Source organism: Homo sapiens, chromosome 7 (genome assembly GCF_000001405.40).
Source record: "Homo sapiens chromosome 7, GRCh38.p14 Primary Assembly".
Classification (NCBI taxonomy): domain Eukaryota; kingdom Metazoa; phylum Chordata; class Mammalia; order Primates; family Hominidae; genus Homo; species Homo sapiens.
Window position 1 is genome coordinate 127,230,443 of NC_000007.14, and position 26,517 is coordinate 127,256,959.

Sequence of the window (26,517 nt, forward strand, 5' to 3'; positions counted from 1 at the left end):
TCCTCCTCTCCCGGCCTCTCAGTTTGCACACTCCTATCCATTCCTTTAAGCCCAGCCCAGCCCAATCCCATATTACTGCATGAAGCCTTGTGCTATAGAATGAATGTGTATCCCCCACCAGAATTCATGTTGAAATCCTAACCCTCATTGTGATGGTATTTAAAGATGGCATCTTTAAGAGGTAATTAACTCATAAGCGTGGAGCCCTTGTAAGCGCCCTTACAAGGAGAGACAGGAGAGAGCTTTTCTTATCTCTTTCAGCACCATGTGAGGATGCAACAAGGAGACAGCATCTATAAACCAGGGAGAGGGCCTTCACCAAGAACCCACCAAGCTGGTACCCTGATCTCAGAATTCCAGCTTCCAGAAATGTGAGGGGAAAAAAAGGCTATTGTTTAAGCCACCCAGTCTAAGGTATTCTGTTGCAGCAGCCTATAACAGAGCTGATTGAGAAACCTTGGCTGATAACTGCAGCTTCCTTGGATGAAGTCAGCCTCTCTTTTAAACCCCAGGACCACACTGTAGCCCTTTTTACACGGTTTTATATTGCTCGTGGTTATTTTACAGGATTTTGGTCATTTCCCCTCAACTACAGTACAAGTAACATTGATGGCTTAGAGTCTTCTTTTCTTTCATATTATCCACTACAATGTCGAACATGCGGCATATACCTATGGGATGCTGCATAGACCTGTTGGTGGGTTGATTGAATATCACCTGCCTACCTGTATTACTAAGTTACAGAAGGAGAATAGGTGGGTTAAATGCTAGCATCTCTTACACTATTCTACTTCTCTTGATGGGGGAAAAAAAAAAGATTTAGCACTTACTGGGTTTAGAAGCTATACCAGGCACTGTTCAGCACTGCCTCACAATGCTAGGATAGGACTAGACCACATTAAACTCTGCACTGATTTCTTTCCCTGTGAAGTCCTTTTACATTTGAGCAAATTATCCATATTTGATTGAAATGAGAATTTACTAGGGCATAATTGATATGTTTGACTGAATTAGTCACATTTTAAACAGGTGGCACAAGATAGGTCATAGTGTGAATCAGAATACATTTAGTTCCACTGTTTTTCTGATTGTCCTAAAATGAATGTGACTTCTAGAACAAGTACTTCTGAAGCCTTTTAGTGCTTTCATTTCTGACATTTGTATCAGAGATGATAGGAATTAGTGTCATGTCAGCCATCTCTGGCAGAAAAAAAAATTATTCCCTCAACAAAAGGTAACATTCTTCATCTGGTGCAGGCCTGTGTTTCTGTCCTTACCACACATGGAAAAGAAAGGGAATTCCAACCCAAAGGACAGGCTTGAGGGCTGCCACCCACCCCTGGGGTTATTCAGCTGTTCATGCTCAACCACAACTCCACCATCAAACCTGTGGCCTCTGTAAGCCAGAATTGGTGATTTTTTTCTTTTTCTTTTTTTTTTAAACAATTGAATCCTAAGGGTATTTTTCTTTTGGCGCTGAAACGATATTAAAATTTACTGCAACTTTATTTAAAAAAATAGAAAACTAATGTTTCTCTGGGTCTTCCATTTTTTGAATAAAACTGACTCTTACCACCCAACACATGGATTTGGAAGGATAGCAGTACACCACCTTCTTAGCTCACTTGGCTGGAACATGAGCTGATGAAGTCCTAGTCTCAAGTTTGGCCTTCAAGAAAACTAGATAGGCTTGCCCTATGCCAGAGCCAATCTAGACCTGCCATCAGTTCTGTTTCTTCTTTGTGTGTGTGTGTGTGTGTGTGTGTGTGTGAGAGAGAGAGAGAGAGAGAGAGAGAGACAGACAGACAGACAGGGTCTCACTCTGTTTCCCAGGCTGGAGTGCAGTGGCATGATCATGGCTCACTGTAGCCTCAACCACCCAGGCCCAAGTAATCCTCCCACCTCAGCCTCCAGAGTAGCTGGAACTACAAGGGCATGCTACCACACCCAGCTAATTCTTGTATTTTTTATAGATACAGGATCTTGTCATGTTGCTCAGGCTGGTCTCAGATGCCCAAGCTGGTCTTGAACTCCTGGGCTCAAGTAATCCATCCACCTTGGCCTCCCACAGTGCTGAGATTACAAGTGTGTGCAACCACACCTGGCCCATCAGTTCTGTTTCTTGACCAATGACTATACCTTTAATGCTAATCTGCCTTTGTTCACAAAATAGGGCAAGTCAGTCTGAATGGCTGAGAAACTGGAGGAGAGGTACCACTCAAAATGAATATCCTCTTAATAGCAGATGTAAATATCTTCCTCCTCATTATCATCATCATAACAAACATTTATGGTGCCTCCTATGGAGCAGGGATTTTGCTTAGGACTCTGAACTATATCTTACTTGTCTTCATTAAAAACCTTATGAAAAAGGTACTATTATTAACTGGGGTTTTTTGTTTTTGTTTTGTTTTTGAGACAGAGTCTTGCTGTTACCCAGGCTGGAGTGCAGTGGCGCGATCTTGGCTCACTGCAACCTCTGTCTCCCAGGTTCAAGTGATTCTCCTGCCTCAGCCTCCTGAGTAGCTGGGATTACAAGCACATGCCACCATGCCCAGCTAATTTTGTATTTAGAGACGGGGTTTCACCATGTTTGTCAGGCTTGTCTTGAACTCCTGACCTTGTGATCCACCTGCCTCGGCCTCCCAAAGTGCTGAGATTACAGGTGTGAGCCACCGCACCCAGCCTGGGTTGTTTAACAGATAAGAAAGCTTAAGAATTAGAGAGATAAATTATCTTGCTTAAGGTAACACAGTTAACAAGCATTAGGTCAAAGTTTGAACTCGGGCAGTCTGACTACAGAGCCCAACCTATTTCATATAATTCATATTAATCTATTTTACTCACGAGTATCAGCACCACTAGATAAATACGTTAAAATAATCTATAATTTGAACAGACATCTCCTAATAACAAACATAATATCTATAAGTCGCAAATATCTAAGAAATTTACATCAGTATGACATGGTATTTGTTCTAGAAATAATATAAGTTCAAACACTCTGAGATGAGACGATAAATCACTCTGAAAACTAACAAATAAAATTGCCACAACATAAAGAAATAGTACAAGCACTAGTCAAAGCTAGAGGTCACTCTCAATCCATGTGAGAGGAAGCAAGAGTAAGACACTAGAGCAAGAATAAGTCACCATCCACATGTCCCAAAGAAGCCTCAGTGGCACTGCAGGAGATACAGAGACAGATCCATGGTGTCCCTGAAGCTGGGACTAAGCCAGGGCTGTATTACACCAAGGAAACCAGCCTCCCTAATCCCAGAGGGAGCCTTGAAGCGTCTTAGAGGGAGACTAATGGCCAACATTGAGAACACATGTCTATTAGCTTGCTGAGCCTAATGAAGTAATACAGCAGAGACTGACCTCATTCTAGAAACAGATAACAGTGGCTGTGCACAATGCTATGCCTAGACCCCTACACCTTGCCAGCCTGGTGTTCCTTATGTATTCAAGATACATAAAGATTAGATGTGTAGACGCAGGTTGTGAGGACAGTGTTTGGGGATAGGAAAAGCCCCCAATTACAGCTAAAAGAGATGTCTCTTTTGCCAGAAAGTGTGTTATATCAATTAAATGGGTAAATAAGCCCTTTTCCCACTGTGGGGAAGCAAGGGCCTCTTGTGACCCTCTATTGATTAAGACTGCTGTGGAATGTTATTTGCAATCTCATTGCATAATGGAAATCAGGAGGTAGCTGTCATGGTTTCTGAAGACAAATTGCTGGTAGCTGAGACAAATCATAGCCTCTTTCATCTTTTACTGTTCTCAATTCCCAATTAATGTATATCTTACAATCTAAGTTTCTTAAATCAGTCTGCTCTACTGTCTCAGGTAGTAAAAATGTGTAAAATGGTAATCTGCCTGACCCTACTTTAAGAAATTGTGTTTAAGTGACCATTGCACTGATCATTATTCATGAGCTATGCATTACTTAATAAGGAACACAACTCAAAAATGAACACAATTAAAAATAAATCCACACAACAGCTGCTGTGATTATGACCAATATGAACAGAAATCCAACCAGGTGTGTGTCAAAAGAAAAAAGCTGCTGCCAGACAGAACACTGTTAAATCTCATTTTTGTTTTGCACACTTTGACTTGCTAAGTCAGCCAGCAAGCAATTTGTATGGAGCAGTGCTTCCAAAGTGTGATGTGCAAAAGAGCAGCATCAGCATCACCTGGGAACCATTAGAAATGGCAGTTCTCAGACCCCACCCCGGGCCTCCCCGGACCCACTGAATCAGAAACTCTGCAGGTGGGCTCAGGAACGCGTGTTTCAACAAGCACTCTGGGTGATTTCTCGCATGCTACAGTGTGATAACCATTGGACTGAGCACAGGACAGCCTTCAGATTTTAAGTCTTCCTAGGAAGGCATTACCTTTGGTTGCAAACAGCTATGAGAAGAGCCCAGGAAGACACCTGTGTTAAAACCGCTGCAGTCTTCAATTGTGCTGTGAACCTAAAACTGCTCTGAAGTGAAGTCCATAAAATTTAAAAACCTGCAGTCTCTAGGGTGAATGGGTAGAAAGAGCACAGTACTTTCCTTATGCAGATTTATTTACATAGACCCTGACTTATTCTAGAAAGGTTTTCAGACAATTTTGTAAACCAAAATATATAACATCCAGTCACAAACCATTCTTATGGAAAGACTTCTCACTACTTTTCAAACAACCTCATTATTTAAAACACCCCAAACATAGGCATTTATCACTAAAAGCACGCTCTTAAGATGTCTTCGGTATTCACTTCAGGATTTCAGGCCATTTAAGGCTAGGGGAAAGAAAAGAAATTTAAATTCACCAAGTTTAAAATGTGCTCCGCCCAAGAGTCATGGTGCTCCCTGAACTGTCTGAGCATATGACCACCATGCTGATTCTAAGTTATTGCATGTTTCGAAGAGACATGACTTGGAATGTTGTGTCCTGTGACCCTGTCTTACAGCAAGATGCTTTCAGCAATTCACTCATCTGGCCCCTTTGTTGGTCCAAGAAAGGGCCCTACACCACCAAAATTCATTCTAGAGCTAATAGTATTCGGATGAGGCTCTAGCATTGTTTCAACTGTTTTTCAAAAAACAAATTTGAAGAGCAAAGGGAAGTAACTTGTTTATCAGAGATTTGTAAAATAAAGTATGGTCCATCCATATGATTAAAAACCAAGCAATTATTAAAAAAATAAAGTCCTGCAGTTCTCATTCTTGACCAAACATCAGAATCACCTGGTGATCTTTTAAAACATACCAATGCAGGGCTCTACACCAACCAATTTAACTGGTCCTGGCTAGGGTTTGGGCATCCATAATTTTTAAAAGCTATGCTGGCAATGCTAACATGCAGCCAGGATCAAGAATTACTGCAGTACATCTGTATTAACCAACATGGAAAATTTTCCCAAACATATTAAGTGAAAAAGAAAGTCATAAATCACATATCTGTTAATAAAATCATGTGTGCATGTGTTATTAACGGATTTATGCATTTGGAAGTGGACTTTCCTTTCATACTATGTATTGCTTAAACCTTCCAAAATGAGAATGTGTTCATATATTTTGCTTATTTTACTTTATTTTTGATTGACAATTTATATGTATTTATGGGGCATAATGTGATGGTTTATGTTTACAATATGGGGTGATTAAATTGGCTAATTAACAAATCCATCATCTCACATTTTTTTTGGTGTATGGTGAAAACATTTAAGATCTACTCTTTCAACAATTTTGAAATATACACGCAATTTCTTAATGTTAAAAATACATTTAAATGGAAATTTGTAGGAAAAAGAGAAAGCACATGAAAATAGCAACTCTCAAAATATAATCATGTTTCCTTCTTTCTCCGCTTCTCCCTATTAGTCTGCTTTCACACTGCTATAAGGAACTGCCAGATACTGGGTAATTTATAAACGAAAGAGGTTTAATTGACTCACAGTTCAGCATGGCTGGGGAGGCCTCAGGAAACTCATAATTATGGCAGAAGGCAAAGGAGAAGCAAGAAACCTTCTTCACAAGGTGGCAGGAAGGAGCGTGCCAAACAAAGTGGGAAGAGCCCCTTATAAAACCATCAGATCTCGTGAGAACTCACTCACTATCACGAGAACAGCATGGAGAAAACCACCCCCATGATTCAATTACCTCCACCTGGTCTCTCCTTTGACCTTTGGGGATTATAGGGATTACATTTCAAGATGAGATTTGGGTGGGGACACAAAGCCTAAACATATTGCCCTCCTTTTTCTAAAGGAGTATACAAGAAAAATAAACAAAATTATACTTCTTTCCTATCTATTCAACACATATTTCCAACATTGAGATTGGGATGAGGGAGAGAGTAGAGAGATATGATTTATTCATTCATTCATTATTTCTCTGACAGGCCCATGCTAGGTGCTAGGAATACAGCAACAAACTAGATAGACATGCCCCTGCCCACATGGTGCTTACAGTCTAGTGGGGGATGCAGACAAGTAGGTAAACAACTACAACCCAGTGAGAGAGACATTAAGGAGAGGAAGCACAAGCTGCTTGTTACTTGTAACAAAGAGACAATCTAGTCAAGGAAAGTGAGAAAAGGATCCCCAAAGTGGAAGTGGACCTTCATCCTGGGTAAAACCCTAGCCATTAAAGAGTTTTAAGAAGGGGAAAGAGATTACCAAGTCTCCATTTTGAAAGATCTCTGTAGCTGGGAGTTTAAGTGCTACTTACCAGTCCTCTCTCACCTAAGGAGAGTGAGCTCTTTTCAAAGTTAAATGAAACCCTGCTACAGTACCAAAGAGTTGACTGAAGAAGTCCATCTCCCAATATTCCATTATCTATTGCCATCAAATGAGATTGAACATGAAATTTACCTCCTACTGAGTTTACTGACTGCACTCATTTATGAGTTCATCTCTAGATGAGCCCGGATATGGCAGATTTACCTTTTCAAAGTTTTGAAGCTAATAAAACCCATTGTATGCAATAAATAACTCAAAAAAATGCTTGGCTTTATAGAAGTGGTTGCTACAATTGGTGGAGTCTCTTGGAAGAAAATATATCTTCATAAACATAGCAGGGTAGGCGAAGACTGCCAGGGAAACAAGCTGCTTCTCAGTATTTCATTGACTTCACATGAAGATCAATTTTAGCCATTTATAATCAGCACACTTCCACATAGGGTGAAATTATCTAGCCCACCCACAAATGGATTTCTATTTAAAAGTCTCATTTGATTGCTTTGGGAAGGATACACTACAGACTATCTAACCCCTATCCTTCAAGGGTAGAAAATTAACAATCCAGGTAAAGTTAACTAGAAAAACAAAAGAGAGAGGAATTATATTTGACAGTGTCCTCTTACAACCCAGTGCATCTTTGTGGACATTAATGTGAGTTACCTCCAGCATCAATGTGCTATTTTTAACTTAGAATATTCAATCTTTGCTCAAAGTAAGACATATGATTAGTGTTTGGAGTAATCAATTTGCTTTAATTTAAAGGAGAGCAGAGGAAATGTTCTAGAAAGGAGAAAAAATTTGAGCTCTTTATAAAACACAAATTTATGGGCTTCTCAAACATTTCCAAAGACCCTCTCCTTTTTAAATTCTTTCAAAACTACACAATCTCTTATGGGGAGCTGGACCCCTCTTTTCACTGGGTTGTCTGCAGTACAAAAGCCCCTGAGGTGTCGTTTATACCTCTGTATAGGATGGAGCTGTTCTGGGTCTGCTATTCTACCGTTACATGTCACATTATCCTAATTGATACTTCTGTTATCTAAAGCCATTAGCATGTTATATGAGTGAAGCAATCACCTAGGTCTGCTCTGCCCCATGTTAGCTGATATACGATGTGTGTGTGCATGTGTGTGTGTGTGTGTGTGTGTGTGTGTGTGTTAGGGTACACTAGTGCATCTAAAAAGTTCAGATCATTAAATTCTTGTTCTGTAACTCTCAAATTTGTTTCCACTCCCAACACACCTGAGGGATATGAGACACTCATCTCAATAAAAATAGTTCCCAGAGAGGGGCTTGGGAGGCACACATCATTCACTGGATCCTGCCATTCGAAAAGCCTCCCAGGTAGTTTTAATAATGCAGCCCACACCCCTTGTGGGTGAGGCAACAGCAGTATGAACCCCACCGTACACTCGAGGTTGAGTATCACTAATCTAGTAAAGCATTCAGTATCCTATGGATCTACGCCACATGGCATCTTCTGTTCCCAGGTTGTGTCCAGCTCCAGGCCCTTATTCAACCCTCTTCTAAAGTTAAAGAGGCCCATTTTTTTCATTTGCTTCTGAGCTTGGATAAGAAAAGAAACAAAGATAGGATGACACCACTTCCCTCTAGGTCAGATGAGCAGGGCCACCTGTATTCCAGCAGAGGAGGTGGCTATCCACTAAGTGCAGTCTCTGTTGGGGCTAAATGAACCTCCCCAACTGATGCCAGCATCTCCTTTGCAAAGACAAATCCCATTTAATTCCACAATTAGTGATCCTGAAGGAAATAAAATGCTCCTCTGACTTAAACACAGACATACTAACATAGAGATAGCTGACAACACCTAGATCCCTTGCATCAGGTTTTGATTAGGAGAACACTTAGGAATACAAGGACTGGAGAGGCTGACACAGGAGGAGCAAGACTGAAGAAAGTGGTAAATGGGGCTGCATGGAAGATGTTGTCTCCTTCACATTTTAGTTCAGGAAGATACTGCAGGTAAAATACATGGCCTTCCTAAAGTTGTCCAAAAAAAGGAAACTGAGACATTTAGGGATCACTTCCAAATTTGGCCCAAATATTTTCCATAAAATTTTAAACACATCGCAATCACATTCTTAAAACCCCAATTTATGTTTATTGTTGAGTAGGACAGTGAGTAAGTTCATGAATTAAGACCCTGTTTGTATTCCTTATGATCAAGGTTCATTGCATATCTTCAGTGGAGATGCTCTACCTTCTTTAACTCCATTATCTGGGAATAACTAGCAATACATTAATTTCTGGGCATATTTTTAGATTCTGTGGGTCTTTTGCTACCCTGAAAGGGCCTAAGCTTGAGAAAACTGTCCTAAAACTTACTTTTACTCAAGTCATAACCTTTGGAAAATTAGTATTTAAGAAAAGTATTATTTTTCAAAAAGGAGCTATATGCCAATCTCCAATGCATTAACTGCTAATCATTCCTCTGATAACTATTCTAATATTTCATGTCCATCCTAGCATATATGTATAAACAGAAGTCATCCATACATAGAGTAGACAATTTTCTATCCCAATTGCTTTATAATTAATACTACAAATGGAGTGCTTCCTGAAAGTCACATAAAAATCAAACTAAAGTAGCATAAGTTGCTATTATCTAATTCACATTCTTATGGTTCCAGAATCACCTGTAAGATGGACTAGGCACTGACATCTCACTGACGGACTTTTGAATTACAGACGATTTTCAAGTCCAATAACTTGGTTAATAACTAGATTTGCTTCTGTAGGTTAAACGCGCACTCTGGACCAGTGAACCGATCATGTTAGTCATGACATCTACCATAACAGCACCCCCTCCTGGCGATAAGTGACCCACCCACTCCCTGCACTTCAGTTAAGGGTAGCAAGAGCTGCCCTTTCATGTGTTGGTGGGTGTCTCAAGAGATGGCCTGGGGCATTGGACTCTGCCCAGAGAGTCAGTAGTAACCCTCTCACCCAGTCAGATGGGGTCCCTCCAGAATTACCCAAGAAATTAAGAGAACTAACCAGTCAGTGAGGGAAGAATAGAGAAGAGAGAAGCCAGATCCCCGCTGCATAAAAACAAAACACCCTCTTGCCTTCAGGTGGCCTGGAGTTTCCTTCAATAGCCCAAAAAACCAAAGGACATGACCAGGTCCTGATGGAAGCCTTCCTGCATTTTCTCATTAAATATACCCAACAATCTAACACAATCTTATTATTCCCATTTTGCAGATTGGCTGATTCTATGGCAAAAAAAAAAAAAAAATGCAAACAAGCTTGGAAAACCTCATATGAATACCTTATCTCCTCCACCACACTCCTCAAATCTTTGCCCACTTTTGGCTGGGCACCAGGCTACAGGAAACAGCCAGGATTCACAGGAATTACAATGGTATTGACAGGAACCCGAATTGGTTTATAAGGAGAGGGAAACCAAAAGGAGAAGATTCTTAGGAAACTTTTCCTCTCCTCTAAAAGTGATGTTTTTGAACCACAGTTGCTAAGTTAAAAATAGAAAAGAGATGCCTTGGAGCAGGTGAGGAGGGAGTTCAAATCAGAGAGAAGAGTTACAGAAATGTCTGAGCTGGACACCAACCCAGAGCAGAAAATGCCATATGGCACAGAACCGGGGTAGCTGGGAGGAATACTAGATCCCAAGATGTGGGAGGAAGCCTGGAGAATTCTGGTTCCACATCTTCCCTCTAAGCAAGGAGTCCCTCTTACTAAGAGAAATGGTTAACAACTGCCTAGTTTCCCTTGAAGGTTTCCAGAAATGGAGAACTAGAGCAACTCTGGCTACATGTTTTAATTGTGTCCTTCTCACTGTCAAGAGGCGCTTCTTAATGTCCTGCTCAAATGTCTCCAGCACACCCTGAAGCCTGTTTGTGCCTCTTCAGTACTCCTTAGACGCAGAGAGCTTCTGCTTAGCATCCTCCTTATTTGAGAAAATTTCATCTATCTGAAAATAGCCATTAAGTTGCCTCATACCATTTTCTCTTCTAAACTAGGGAAATCCATACAGAGGCTGCACAGCCACTCAAGGGGGTGTTACAAAGAGGATTCCAGTGCCATGAGTGGGCCAGACTAGATGTGCCTCTGAGATATCTGCCAAGCCAGAAATCCTTTGATTCAATTCCTTTCATCTTTTGTGTGACATTTCCCATCACTTTGTTCACATTTGTCACAATACCTGTCATCTGTCCAACTTCTCCATATTCTTTTAATATTTCTAAATCTAATGTGCATAGGACCTTTTTTTTTTCTTTTTTTTTTTTTTGAGACAGAGTCTTGCTCTGTTGCCCAGGCTGGAGTGCAGTGGCATGATCTCGGCTCATCGCAACCTCCACCTCCCAGGTTCAAGCGATTCTCCTCCCTCAGCCTCCCAAGTAGCTGGGACTACAAGCGTGTGCCACTATGCCGGGCTAATTTTTTGTATCTTTTTAGTAGAGACGGGGTTTCACCGTGTTAGCCAGGATGGTCTCAATCTCCTGACCTCATGATCCGCCCGCCTTGGCCTCCCAAAGTGCTGGGATTACAGGCGTGAGCCACTGCACCCAGCCAGGAACCATTTTTCACAATATAAAACAAAGGCTCATTAATTCAGATTAAGTTGAAAAATTCATGTCCCCCTGAGTAAGAAACCAGAGTGAAAGTATTTTCAATTAAACAAATTATGTCTATTACAAAAGACTACATATTGGTTATTAATAAATAAAATGAGAAAGTTAATGAAAATGGTGAGTTAACAATAACTTTATTTTTACTGCACTTTATACTTTTCAAAGTATTTTTACATATATTATTCCATATTTCCAATTTTATTCAATATGTAAATGCAACATATGGGTAATAGATCACCAAACCTAAATCAAAAAGTCTAATTTATCCTGCTAAATTTGAACTTTTAATGCAATAAGAATTATATATAATTATTCCAAGTCTGTATCAGAGCAGTCTGAATTAATAAGGTTCTGCTCTATTGTAGTTATAATAAGCCTGACAATTTTATGACCATCTCATCTCCCAGAGTGTCACTCCCATCTACACATTAGTAATAAATACTGTTTCTTCATGAACAAACTTTTGTCATAACAGAGCATCCCACCTTAAAGAAGTTTCACTCAGTAAATTAAATAGCTCAAATACCATAGAAATGTTTTCCATGATAAATGCGCTGAGTTCATTATTCTCTTCAAAAATGCTTGTTTAATTTAAAATGAGCCTAACAAAGAGGTTATCCCAAGATGACAAGGACCCAATATATCACAGAACTTTTCACCTTTCTCTTTGTTCAGGAAAAAAAAAAAAGAGTCAAAATTAATCCAGTTAATTGTAAGTAATGGAACTAAACCAATACATGTAGAATGCCCCATATAGAATGTCCCATTTGAGGAACCTGGTAACACCAAAAGGGTCTATGAGCACCTTCACCATCTTCACTTTCTTCTTAAACCTGCAGTAGGAGTCATAGCATTTCATTGTTCTTTCACAATGGTCAGAAAGACAATGCCTTTACCTACCTTAAAAAGTCTTAAAATGTTAGCAACCATGATGGACACGGAGCTTGCTGCAGCACCTATGACGCCAGAAATCTTGTCGGGCTTGGTGAAAATGGGTGGATCTCCATTAGCACACTTCACATCCGAAGCATCTTTCTCTATTAATGCCTGCACGAATGTTAGAGACTGCTCCAAAGCATAGGTGTCCCTAGAGCACGTGTCGAGGATGCGGACACCCAGAGTGATGTTGGAAAGGAGATCAGGGTCCTTGTTAATCTGGTCAATTGCATAAAGCATGGCCTCCAGTCTGTGAATCCCCTTTTCCTTCTTCAGCTCCCCACAAGGCACCCCTCTCTCTCCCTTTGCGTGGACAGGGAAGAGACCCCCCAAAATAATGTCCCCATCCACCCGTATGGAATGGGCATACTCCTGGCTGTGAGTTCTTTGCATCATTGTGAGGATCCAGTAGAACTTGGCGGTCAAGAGGAAGAAACAAGGGCAAGAGGCTGATCGCTTTCCCTCGCATACCATTTTCTCCACAGGTGGTATTGCAATCCAAGACCCAAAGTTTATTCTTGCCACAGAAGAAAGGGCACCACCTGAGGCTGCACCTTCTGGAGGCTACCATCAGGGCCCATGGGGAAAAGGCTCTGTGGGCATTAGCAAGTTTTCTTGATTTGAATGTCACAGTGAATTTCCATCAGACCCCTAAGGTTCAATTTTATTTCCTTATAAGATCAACTTGCCTGGAATGGTGCAAAAATTAGAACATCTGAGGTTCTGATGTTGGGATGAGGTCAACAATTCATGTCCTTGAAATCAGCCTTGTAGCAGAATTATTCCTGGGAAGAGGGGAAAAAAGGGGGTTCAGTTCAGTGGGTCTACATGTTTCACATTTTGCAGCCCTGTTTACGCCAGCCTCTTAAAAAAAAAATCCCCTATTCAGTAAGAAACTAATTCTTTTTGTCCCCCTGTGATTCTGAACACCTGGCTGCACTGCATCTAAACAGGGAGATTGATCATATTTTTGGAGCAAGAGAAACAGAACAGTATCAGGAAGTAGGTTGATTCTCCCAAACCAGAAAGCACTTTTATTTATCATCTTATTTCAATAAACCTTATTTCCATGAAGGTAAAAATCCTGCAACTGATGGCACCATTTCTTTTCAAATCTGTTTTTTTTTTTTGCAGCTATCTGAATTTAGCATTCTAATTTTGTCAACAAAATCATAATAAATATTATTTTCTGTGATGTATTCAACAAGCCAGTCATCTGTTAATGACTTTTTTTTTAGTGCCTCAAATTACCCAGTAGGAAAAAGTGATTATTCAATTACAAAGTGAAAGAGAGAAAGAAATCCACCCAAAGAGCTAAAAAATGTGTAAGTTTTGTAGCTTGTGAAAAAAAATTAACATAGAAAGTCAGCTATTTCATATAAATTGTCTTATTCTCTGGTAAGAAAACAAAGACTTGAAAATGAAACACACAGGTAAGGTGACATGTGAAGATATTCCTATTACCATTGTCAGGGTTTCCAATTAATTTGTCGGTGTGGGAGCAATGGGTATATTAACAGTTCTGAGGGAAACATGCCTTGATCCCAGAATCACTAGGAGCAAATCAGAGTTGTCAATCAATTGAAGAGCTGCCTAATTTTGCCTGACTCAGTGGGGAAAAGTTCATCAAGACTAGAAATAACTTGAAGTGAAAAAGGCTACACGCAAATCTACAGACAAAGCCTTTTTCCTACGGCCTTCACCCTTAATTCCGTAAGATTTTTTTCAAACGACTTTTGAAGAGATGTGACTGAAAATGAGAACTGACTTAACACAGGGAATCTGAGATTTGTAATGCACAGCTAATTAAGAGAATAAACAGCACCAATTTACTTTGGCAGGATGGTTAATCTAATGCTCATTTCTAACCTATTTATATATGGGTTTGAAACCTGAAATTTGGACAGTTCTCCTGTACCCTAGCCAACCAACATCTGCTTGTATTTTCCATTCACTTGTTCAAGTTCCAGTTCATAAAATTTTCTTTTTATCCTTCTTGCCCCGAAAGGAAAGATGGTGCTTCCCTGGGGGATAACTGAAAATATGCCCAAACACCTTCAAAGAAAGCTGCATTTTTTGCACTTGCAGATTAGAAAAGAGGGCTCATAGCAGCCCACTGCCCCATATTTCTGAGCAAACACCTGGCAGCCTAGCCAGCCAATGGCCCACTCGGCTGAGATAGTTCTGTGCAGCCTAAGACAAGTATTCCCTGCCTCCGGGCACACATTAAGCCTTAGATTTCCTCTGTGCTGCCCCCAAAATACTTTCTGATTTTTCTCACCACTTCACTGTTTAGTCCCTCACACTGGATTCTCCTAGCAGCTGCTTTTCCCTCAGAAAATCTGTGATTCAATAACAGCCTGACCTCAGGCATTCCACAAAAGGAAACACTCAGAAAGTCAACCTGATTTTCTGGATGAAACCATTTAAGTGATAGGCCATAAATTACACCGGCCACCCATTAAGAGAAGTAAGATTGTGTTTAACAGTTTCACAAGGAAAACCAGTCACATGATAGTAAAACCTCATTAACTCTGATCACTAGTTGAGAATTTGAGACCAATTCCACGTGGCTGAGCCGACCCTTGTTCTGACAGAGTACAGACTAAATGAATAAATAAGGTGAAGGAGAAATGTCTAGGGGGAGTGGATGGGTCTTGGGACCACCTTTCCTCTTTACACCAAGCCATCCCCCAAGTACTTAAAACACTTAAGAGAATAAATGGCTTTCAATTATAGACGAACATACAAACAGCCCATCTGTTCATCACAATGCATCCTTACCTATCCATGTGGCATTAACCTAGTTCCACTTGCTGTACAGTCCAGAAAGTAATAAAATTGAGTCGCTTTTAAAATTATTGGTAATTGCAGTATTGTTTACTCTCTTTGGCATCTCATAGCTTTGTTTGGAGCTTTAATTTTTAAAAAAAGATTGGGGAATGAATAGCAGTGAGGCAGGAATCAGTTTTGTTTAGTGGCTGAATGCACTGAAATGGAAAACTAGAGGTTCAGTTTTGGTTTCATTTCAGTTTCATTTATTGGACAGCTCACTTGAATTTTTGCTGGAGTTTCCGTCTCTGGAACACAGAATTAATTGCATGTAACCTCTCTGAAGCTTGCTTTTCTTGTCTGTAAAGGTGATAGAACCTGCCACACAGCACACATGGAAAGCATAGTATCTGGCTCATTAAACAGGAGTTATTGTTGCTAACTTAGTCTGTAATTCATTTTCTACTGGAGCAGAGCAACTCTTTCTGTATTTGCCCAGTTGGTGAGCTTTTACTGAATTTCGTTTGTCACTTTAAAAAATAAAATCAGAGCTACTTATAAAATATTTAAATCTTCCATTTATTTCAAAATCTGATACATTGTCATAAAAATCAGACTCCACTGCCAGAAGGTTTAGTTTCCCCTTTTAAAAAACCTAAGGAAAAATATATTTGAAAGTTTGTGAGAAACTACATCAGTTAGGTTTCATTGTATAATCTTAAATTACTTATCTTGCTCTTGTACAATTCTTGTGAGCTTTAATCCAAGCTCATCCTAGTGGAGTCTGTGAGTTTTAAACAAATCACAATCTTTCAGAGCTATAGATCCAAATACCTCTATTGTATGTTTTGTGTTTGATTTAAAGTATAAACAGCTCCTCTCTCAAACTGACCTGCCTCTGACATGTGGCAGAAGCGGGGACTGTGCTGGACTGTTTCAAGGAGGCGTGAGGTCTGGACTCCTGAAACCAATCTCAGAGGGGGACAAATCCTCTCAGCACTATGTCTGGGCCCACAGGGAGAGGCCGTGGAACCCTTTGGGGAGGCTTAACCATGAACCCTCATAGCCCTTCCTGTGCACTCCCCCGCCAGCCCACCCTTACTTACAGGGCACATCATACATCATTGGGCCCTCCATGGGCAGTCCCCTGGCCTAAGACTCCTGGAAGCAGGCACCCTGGCTGGACCCCGAGCCTGTATCCCCCTAAATGTGCTCTGTTTCCTAAAAGGCCAGAAGGATACCTCCTCACTGGCCAGAGCCCAGAATTCTGCTTTATTTTCTACACACCTTCTCTGTACCAGTGTCAAGTATCTAACACAGTATCTCCATAAATTTTCATACACCAGGCATTAGCTCTTGTATAAATGAGAAAAGAAGGCTCAGAGGGATTGAATATGGCCCCAACCCCTGAGAGCGTGAGCTGATAAGTGGCAGTGCCACCAAAGTCATCTGTCCCAGAAGGTGGGTCCTGTCCTTGGAGAAAGACCCCAGTGCTGCAGGGACTCACTGTGGCAGCACAAGGAAAGGGAATGGCCCTGCCCCTCCACTGCAATCTTTCAGAAAGGTGCACATCTTCAATGCTTAGCTCTGGAAGAACACTAACATATTAATTAGGAAGGGACAATCTGGGGGCATTTCCAGGGAGGTGATTTCTGAATCTCTCAAAGGGCTGAGAAGATCCAATGCGGTTTGTCCAAACACTTCTGCTCCAAATGAGGTCTCCTGGCCAGGTTGATGTCAAGGTGATGTCAGGTGGAACACACCCACCAACGCATGCAGGGTCTCTCTGGGTCTGCCATCACATCTTCCTTGGGCATTTAGCAGGTATGATTAAAATATGATAGGGTAAAATCCTCACTGAGGAATACCATTATCCAAGAATTGTAATTTTTTTCTCATAAAAAGGCCAAAGCAGCATTCCTATGCTGCATTCCATTCAGCTCTTTAACAAAAAGGTTAAGCTGAATATTCTCATCAATTCATATGACTGCTCACACTTGCAGCTCTTTTGGTTGTTTTGAAAATGCATCGTATTTCTGTATCATCTCCCATGCTGCAATATGTGTGCATGTCTATGGATTCTTGGTGGGGCAGAGTGAGGATGGGGCAGACAGAGCTCTCCCTTGGCAACAGACGCTTGGAATCGGATCTTTGTCTGACAGTCACTGGCTGGTAACACTGAACATGTCCCCTCACCCCTATGTGCTTCCATTTCCTCATCTGTGAAACGAGTGAGATGGACCACGTGATCTCTAAGGTGTCTTCCAGCTTCCTATTCTGAGATTCTATTACTTAATAATAAGGGAATATGAGATTATGCTCAAACATCAGAGCAAGGCTTTGCCAACTGAACACAATAACTGATTTTGTTTGCAAGTTGAGTGACTTTTTTTCATCAGTGAGAGGATTGTGAAAGCTCTTCTACACAAGCCAGCCTCATATTTTAAAAAATCTGATACAGGAGAAGCTCGACTTACTAAACAGATAAATTGGAAAGTAATTATTTGCATTACAGAAGAATTCACCACAGGTTTCCTTTAAATAGCTAAATCCCAGGCATTTAAAAAAAAATCTGATTTAGGAGAATTCAATTTGTGCCTTTATTTTTCCAATAACACAGCTATTGCACAAAAAGACCATATTTAAAGTAATGAGAAGCTACTTTTTATAATATGTATCAGATAAGAAGAGAGAAAGTGGGTGACATCAACACTTACTGATTGCCTGCAGTGTGCCTGGAGCTGCAGACACATTATTTCATTTCCCTCTAAAATACAACTATGAGGATGGTATCACAGCCTCCATTCAGGATCTAAGGAACCTGAAAACAGAAAGATTATATGACTGTGTCTAAAGTCTCAGGCGAGAATTCAAATGCAGGACTGCCATTATGTTCCTTCCCTTACTCCATGCCCCATGGGGGCAGGAGGCCATGCTGGATCTCAAACTAACCCTGATTTGATAATGAGGACTGGGAGTGAGATGTTCTAGAGTCCTAGGAGACACTGATTCTAGTCTTACTTCCCCCAGTACTCACTGTATAGCACTGGGCAAGTCACTTAACCAGATCTCAGTTTCTTGGTTTCTAAAATGGGGAATGATTTTCCCCCATCTCCCAGTTTGTGAAATCCAACAATATAATGTGTGTCAAAGTACTTTATAAACTGCCAAGTGCTATAAGAATGCACAGGGATACTATTAGTCTAACAATCTGTCCTAGAACTAAAATATGTTACTGGTGTATTGTACTTAGAAGATCTAAGAAAACCACTTTCTCATCACGCTTGGGTCTAGTCAGACCTTAACAACGGTCACAGGTCCAAAAAAAGTCAACCCTGGCAAGCCTATATGGAGAGCACAGAGCTTGAAGGAAAACTGGAAAGGACGCAAGAAGAAGTCAATGGAACTACCATGCCTGACCTGGAAAACTAAAGGTCATGGACACTGAGCATCTAAATCGCTATTCTGAAGAAAGTGGTGACAAGATAATCTCCTGTTGTGAAAACAAGACAACCGGAAACCTTCCTAAGTTGTAGGTACAATATAATGCTTCTACCGCTGGGTCATGACCACTGGAAAAGTCAGCCAATAAATAGCCAGCAGCTTTCTAGCTTTAGGCATAACCCTGCCTGGAAAAGTATGAAATTGGCAACACATGTGTCCAACAATCTATACTCCTCTGAGGGCTCTCCTAGATATTCCTACTTCTGTTCACCTCCTGCCCTGCCCTGCCCTGCGCTGACCTCCCCAGAACTAGGTCTCTTCCTTCCCTCAGTGCCTTTGTTCTTTCATTACCTTGGCCCTCCCCAGGGAGTGAGTGGATTCATTAGCAGGTATCAAAGCCTGAAGATGCATTACTGTCATCCCCAAATGGAACATCTGCATTCTCAAAATGATTCCTAGGAGAGCCATAATTTATTTACCAAAGAAATATCACCATTAATAATGGTTAAGGCTAGCAATGCAACAAGCCAGAGCAGAGAGCTAGGAGTCAGGAGCGTCTCAACAGTACCTCTCAAATCATTCCAACAGCATTGCCCACCACTGAGAAAGGGTGTCCTGGGATGAGACAATATTATGCTCAGCGTCCCTCCCAGTGAGTGGGTGAGTTTGTCGCAATTTGTCAAATTACCAAGTAGAAATGAAAATCAAAGAAAAAAGAGAGAAAGCCCAAATCTAAATTCCAATTCCTAGCAGAAAGAAAACCCTCTCTTGAAATGGAAACAATAAGCCAGCCAACTCTCAGCTCATAGCCTCTCCTGGGAACAACATGAAGTGGCCGTCCCTATTGAATGAACCACATTTGTGAGTCTGGGGATGCCCAGTCAGAGTCTATCAAGAAAACAGCAAGTTTCCTGAACCTCCGCAAGCCAGCCAACTTGACAGACATGGAGATGTGGCCAGGTCTTGGCTGTGGGTCCAGGAAGAGAGAAATTCAAGCAGCATCTTCTTTTAAGACACTGGGACAGAGCAACTCCACTCCCCCCAACTAAAGCAAGGTCATCTTTATGATGGGCATTCTAACTACCTGAGAAAGGTGGTAGGAAGGAAACTTGGAAGGAAAAAAACATGTGTGTAGTGTGCTGTACATCGTGCCCTGAAGACAATGGAACATTCATACACAAAGATTGGCACGCAATTGCCAATGTGAATGTCAGACGGGTTATTTGCTGCATAAATACCAATTAAACAAGCCCCGCAGCAGCTTCAACCTGCTCAGCCAACTTTGAAAAGAGCACATCTCTCCAGACCTCTAACTTTCTCCTGCACTCACTGGAGCTCAGCTCTTCCTTTTCTCTATTCCTTTTGGATGTAGATGTTTTTAGAATTATTCAAGCAGCCATAACTTTCGAACGGTGCATAACAGGGCAGAACTAGCTAGCACAATCCAAACAGAACAAATTGAGCCTAAGGAACAGTATACAGCTGTGTTCTCAGTATCTTCTTCTTTATTCCGGGTCAATTGTCTCCTACAAAGCCTCCCGTCATCTATTTCTCCCCACATCCCTTATTCAAAAGCAAGAATTCTCTATCTTAGACATGGTACAACCTGTAGTTGACTCTAAAATGGAAAAATTGCATTTTAAAAAACCTTGGTTCATTTTCCCTGACGGAGGAAGCTTTTCTTTTCAAAATTATCAAGCCACACGTTTTCAAGAACCAGAGAATGAATTGCACACAGCTGATTCTGCCTCCTACAGAGATCTTTCACGGTATTATTCACAAGCAAGTGACCAAGGTAAACTAAAGTGGTTTCTGTAGCCATTTGCAATTATTGACAAACAATTTCATAACGGAAAGTGGAAATTACAGGCAAGTGCAATAAGCTGTTTATCCACGATCTACCTGCTGGTGGCTCTTTTTCTCTATTTTTCTTTCAAGCAAAATACAAGCTACCATAGGAATGCTTTTCTCCCGTTCATGATTTTTCTTGTATCTCCACCACCAACCCTGTTTTCCAGTTCTGTCAGTTGGCAGGATTTGTATTCAATCGCGGTAGTAGCCCAGACTCTAGTGTATTCTTGGGTGTTCCAGAGACTCCCGCACCTTCAGGTTTGTGGGAAAGGATCCCCCAAATGGCAAATAAGGCACTCCCTCCCGGGGTGGGACTTGCTTAGGGGACTTAAGGGTTTCTGCAACCGGCGAGGGGGTCTGTTTTCACCCCCGCTATCTTGGGTGCGCAGACACTCTCTGACACCAGGCTTCACAGTTTGGGCCACGGGGGAAGTAATTCCCCAGGGAACCGCGGGGGTGCGGTTTTGCGCAACTGGGTGACTCGCGTGTCCCTCCGCATTTCATTTGCACCAAGGGAGCGCGTGTCAGACGAAGGGAATTTTTTTTTCTTTTTTGGTGATTCTGTTATTTTTTCACCAACTGTACGAAGCTCAAGGGATATCCGAGCTTTCTGGCTGGGCGGATGGGCTTCGCGCTTGGCATGGCTGAGCGGTCCATCTCTACCTCTCCGTTTCTATCTCTACCATAACAGCGACCACTCAGCCCGCCAGGAGCCCCTGTTTCCCAGCGCAGGTTCCTTTTTCTTCTCAGTTCCTTGGGCTGTTGAAGCCGGGTTCTGGGTAGATAGAGACTGGGGCCGTGGGGAGAGCGCCAGGCTGCTTTTGCCTTTCCCGCGCCCCGGGGCATTCCGGCGCGCTGGGGATGCAGCCTCCGCCCCCGCCGCACCTGGCCGCCCGAGCGCCCGCGCCCACGCCCCGCGCGGGGCCGCCCGAAACTGGGGCCGCGCCAGCCGCGGGAGCTACCGAGGAGCTGTTGGGGTGCGTTTGCCTTTGCTTTTTAAACAAGATCCCCGAGACCTTTTCTCCATCCCCCCAACCCCCAGCAGGACACGGAACTCCGGCGTTTCTCGAAAGCCACAAAAGAGGGGCACGGAAATCCCAAGCTCGCCGTGCTAACTCGGAGAACGCAAACTCGAGGCAGAGCGTGCGCCGTGCGGGGATGTGGGTGTCGAGGACCCCGAAGCGCCCGGCTTCCCCCGCGACCCCCATCCTCCCTAGATCCTGGTTAGACATCCATCCAGCCCACGCTCAGAGGGCGGGGGTTACCCCGACTCATCCCGGAAGCCGCTAACTTCAGAAATCCCTCCTGTTAGGTTCGCGAAACGAAGGTACCTCGTCATCTCGGCGGGGCAAGTCCGGATTCCACCAGGGCAGGTCCGGGAGGTCACCCAGGGCAGACGATCCGAGGCAGAGCGCTTTAAAATCCTGCCGCCGCACGCCCAGTCAGAGCGCCGAGCGCGCCTGCCCCCTTCCCGTCACCCTTCAGTCTCCCATTCGCCGACTAAACTTTTGGGGGATCACATCTCCAAGCCTTGGGAGTTCCGGGTAAAGTCTCCCTCTTTTCTGAACCTCTTTACTGTAATGTAATCATGGGCAGACAAGAGGGGTGGCTGCCTTGTTCTTTGCAACGTAAAATCAACAGACACCCAATCAAGCTCCAATGCCCGGCCAGCCCCTCGCCCCCTGGTGCCCACTCTCCTTCTCCCCCCATTCCCGTCACCTCCGCCCGCTATTTCTCTCACAGACTACGGACATGCAGGGCCATCTACTTGTGCTCAGGAAAAACAAATCACTAGAGTGATATGAGAAGGAATGGTGCACCTGGCTGTCCGCTGAAAGGTTTTAGAGAAGAAAACGGAAAGGGGAATAAAACGGGGGGATTCTCCTTTTCCAACAAGCAGGGCGTTTTGGGGAAGTTTGGGGGCCAGGGGCTTTTTGTCCCGTGGTTCGGCACTTGCTTTCCTCGGAGCCGCTTTCTGCTGCCGGGCGGCGAGTCTTACCCTGCTCCCCGCAGAGGGCGCGGTGAGGAAGCCCGCCGGGGGCCCGCAGCTCCATGTCAGCGCCGCCGCCGCCGCCGCCGCCGCCGCGTGAGGCGAGCACAGCGGCCGCACTTGTGGCTGATCTCTGGGCTGAGGGGGCTGAGCTGGCCTAGCAGGCGCCAAGTCTCTTCCATGTGAATAACAAATACTCCCACCGGCGGCCGCGATTGGTCTGCGCCCGGCGCCTCCCGATCCTCCGCCCGCGGCCATTCACCCGGCGCGGCGCGGGGAGCCGCGGCCAGGATCGCGCCCGGGATCGCCAATCGCTTCGCGCCAACCAGTCACCTCGGGAAGCGGGAGGAGGAACCCCCGAGGGGCGGGAGCCTCTGGATTTCGGTGTCACCCAGCGGCCCTGGCGCGGGCAGGGAGGGGGACCCTCGGCCCGCGGATCCCCCTCCGCTCTTCAGCCTGAAGCGACGAGGAGACCAGAAATGTCAATAGTTCTGATTTTTAAAAATCATCCCCCCTTCCCCGCCCCCAAGAAAAAGGGGAGGACCCAACTACAGAGTGAGAGGGTGGGAAGAAGCGGGAGCGGTAGAAGAAGGAATATGGTTGTGGAGGAGCCCAGCGGCTCCGGCTGCCTGGCGAGCCCGGGACCGGCGCGGGGAGGCGCGACGCCCGCCCGAGCACAGCGGGCAGCACCCGCGAGCCCGGGTCCCCGGTGAACACAGCTCCAGAAAGCGTCACCGAGAATAACACATGGTAGATGACAAGTGTCCCGCCACATGCTTTCTTTTCGGGAATGCTTAAAGTAGAGCCGGCAAGCCGCGCGGTTCCCTTGCAAAGTTTGCCTGGCGCCGCGCGGCGGTTCCGCCATTTGTCCCGCCCCGCGGCTCTGGCGATTGTCTCCCCACTCCCCGCCCCCGAGGGTCTGAGGGACGCGTGCAACAGAGTCCCCAGGGCTCGAGGTACCACACAGCGCGGTCCGCTGCGGGCACTGCGCAGGAAGGGGCATGGGTGGCTACCGGGACGGTCATTTTATTGAGATGATTCAAGGAGCCGCAGACGCGGGGCAGGAAACTCCGGGGGAGCCGTGCTCGGGTTCTGCAGGGAAACCTCGGGATTCCCTTCGCATGCCGCATGCGGAAACCTGCCGGGCTCGACGTGCACAGTCCAGCGCTCCTCCCCACTAGTTACTGCCCAGGCCCCCCGATCCTGCACCCGCCGGAATGAGAGAAAGTAGCCCCTCGCCGCCCAGCTCCCGGGTAGCTGCTCCGGCCGGGCCTTGCGTTGGTGAGAAAGTTCCATCTAGAGGCGGCCGCGCGCAACTGCAGGCGGCGCCCTAGGCCCGGGCGAGCCAGGGAGAGCGGGGCGCGGGGGGAGAGGGGGCAGCCCAGGAGATAAGGAGGATGGAGAAGGACGGGAGAGACCCCGAAAAGGCAAGCTCTAGACCCCCGTTCGGCATCTCTACAATGAATTTTATCTTCCTAAGCATCATGAACTTATAAGCATTATGTCAGGAATCTTTCATTAATTCCTGTATATATCGCCTGTTCTGTTCGGGTTATTTTAATTTTCACATCAACTCTGTGAGATGGTCAAAATTATTAAGCCCACTCTACAGATGGAGGCAGAAGCCGAGGCTTAGAGACACGGCTGGAAAGTATTACAGCCAGAAATCAGTGTCTGGCTTCAAAACCCCATAGCACTTCCTCCCTGGTGGTGTTGGCTTTTCCCAAGGCTGGTTGTAATGTGCGAAGTTTCGATTGAGGAAACAGCTGTCTCTCTCCTAATTTCAAAAAAGGACCCTTGCCCTTTGTCACTTAGAAAAAATCTACAGGTTTTCAGCCCAGGGCACCTCTTCCCCTTTCGTTCCCTTCCTTCTCCCATCTCATGAGAGGCTCTTTGATTGTTGAATCATTATTTTATAGCTGCAACCACAAAAGAGGGAGGGAGGAGGATTTGGAGAGAGAAAATGGGCTGGGTCCTCTGTCTGAAAACCTTTCTGCATAGGGAACCTCAATTCCCTGTGAATGTCTAGTGCAGCTCTGAAGAGGGTGATCAGTGTCCGGTGCCACTTGGGACAAGGAAGGTGGGAAGAGGGAAGAGCTCCTAATTTATGCGGAGATGGGGCTGGGTGGACTTCCTGGTTGCACGCCTGCGTGTAAGACGCTTTAAAGATTTTCTTTTCTTAGGGACTGGAAGAGATCCCTCCTCCCCCAGAAGTGTAAAGTAAGTGCAGTGGCCTGATTTCTATAGCAGGAAGCCCACTCCACCCCAAACTCCAGACCCATGATCCCGGTCTGAGCAATGATATCACAGATAACGTAGAGGTATGAATAAGTCCGTTTTAGACCATTTACTACGTGTGCATTGATAAATTTGAGGGGAAAAGAGACACGACGGAGGGGAAAGGCAGAGGAGGCCCGCAAATACGTTGGGCATCGACAACTGCTGACCACACATCGTCTTCAGGGTAGGCTAGAGGCCAGCTGCAGGGCCAGTTGGGTCGTTGCCTGGCATGAGCCAAGAGGGCAGCAGCCTGGTGCTCTAGTGGGCCCATTTTAATAATAAGGGCAATAAGGCTGGCTGTGGCTTTGGAAGCCTAAGGAGGCCGAGTGAGCCTCTTGGGGAAGAAATGCCTAATGAGCTGCCTTTCTCCTTTCCCTATTGATCATTACCTGCAGAGAACTGATGTCTTACAGGCACATCGCTGCCCTTTTTGGTGCAGCCTTCTGCGAGAAAACTAGACTTGATCTCTCCTAAGGAAAGTGCAAGTCCGATGCTTCGTTTTGCATCATCTTTAACTCTTGATACTCAAAATAGAACCATCACTCAAATCCTACATGGAATCTGGTCAATAAGAAATAGAGCCCTTCTATATATTCTTCAGTGTTTCCAATGGCTTTATCTAGTAGCCCCTGAGCAAGTGACACAGCCTTCTGTACAGGTTATAATTTGCCCATGTACAGGTTATAATTCGCCCAGACTGATAGCAACACTGGGACACAGGAAGAAAGATTGTCTCCAGGAGGGACTGGTCCTTATCAGTAACATTCACAGGAAAAAGTTATTGGCTGTACAACCTCTATTCGTCAGGGCCAAACACCATGATGCTGCTTGCTCATTGCTGCAATCTGAGTCAGGGGAGAGTGTCTGAAGACCAGGCCGTCCAGACATGCAGCTTATTCTAGAGTCATCCACCTTGCCTCCCCTTGGGATCCCACCCTCTGCAATACACACTGTGTCTTTGGAAAGTGTCTGACCTCATCCTCCATCCCACCCCAAATGTTTATTCAAACCAAGTATATTTCCTAGTAGTTAATCCTCCAGGAAGATTTGCCTATAATCTTCTCATTTTCAGTTGATTTAAAATGTGAGAAACTGCCCATGTGTTAGAAAATGCAAAAAACAATGCCATATGTTTGGGGTCCATTTAACTCAAGCTGTGATACATATTCCACACATGGAGATTTATGCCACAATTCCTGCTTTGGAGTAATCATTAAGGCTGAGAACCTTTGCAGGCTACTCACCCAAGAGAAATATCGACAGCATGATGCTCCCACATGGAGCAAAGCTGACAGGGGAAAGTGGGAATGGGATTTGTTTCTTTTGGAAACGAAGACAATATTTTTCTTGCTAGACCATCTGCACATGGCAGTGAGTGTACCATGTGGGTTTTGCTCAGTTTATTAGACACTGGCTGCTAGAAGCAAGATCAGACATGTTAGACTGACAGTCAGATAGAGCCAATGAGATTCATGACACCAATGTCATGAATGAGTGTGTTCTGCACTTCCACAGTCAACTCATACCTGCATACAGGAGTCATGGGAAAGATTCTTTAAGAATTTCTGACATATGGTATATGGGCATCTCTACTGGCTTCATTTGGGTTCCCCTAGAAGCACAACCTGAAACAAGGATTCAAGAGCAGGTAGTTTAAGAGGTGAAGGGAATCCCAGTACTCAGGTGGGGAAGTGAGCCAATAAAGGGTGCATTATCAAGCTAGGTATCACTGTAGGCACCTGGTACCTAATCCCAGTGGGGAACTCTGGAAGTCAGTGTAAAACACACAGCAGAGAGTGGGTCCAACTGAGGGATGAGGGAGCTGGGGTATCTATACACCAACACTTATAAGATGTTAGTTAAGAACTGCTACCAGATGATGTTTATTCTCT

The 26,517-nt window shown here is 44.1% G+C and overlaps 1 protein-coding gene across 12 annotated transcripts in view, besides 2 other annotated features; it reads right to left on the reverse strand.

Moving 5' to 3' along the window:
* Positions 1-22,499, reverse strand: part of GRM8 (glutamate metabotropic receptor 8) — an 814,344-nt gene extending 791,845 nt beyond the window's left edge. For 4 of the 12 annotated variants that reach the window (NR_163849.1, XR_007060010.1, NM_000845.3 and 1 more), the window contains exons 1-2: positions 22,355-22,499; positions 12,253-13,073 (exon numbers count right to left, since the gene is read on the reverse strand). Coding sequence is in view for 7 of the 12 variants with exons in the window: in NM_000845.3 (NP_000836.2) it covers positions 12,253-12,762 (510 nt within the window). In the remaining 5 variants the exon portion in view is untranslated. Of the gene's footprint in view, positions 1-12,252; positions 13,074-17,777; positions 17,882-21,686; positions 21,933-22,354 lie in introns of those variants that run through there. The other 8 variants (NM_001371084.1, NM_001371086.1, NM_001371088.1 and 5 more) reach the window with 5 other exon arrangements.
* Positions 23,337-23,586: an enhancer, noted in NCBI's record as "active region_26582". NCBI's record gives its function as "activates an Ori minimal core promoter by ATAC-STARR-seq in GM12878 lymphoblastoid cells {active_cell/tissue: GM12878}" and the evidence as "EXISTENCE:reporter gene assay evidence [ECO:0000049][PMID:35858748]".
* Positions 23,707-23,766: a silencer, noted in NCBI's record as "silent region_18590". NCBI's record gives its function as "represses an Ori minimal core promoter by ATAC-STARR-seq in GM12878 lymphoblastoid cells {active_cell/tissue: GM12878}" and the evidence as "EXISTENCE:reporter gene assay evidence [ECO:0000049][PMID:35858748]".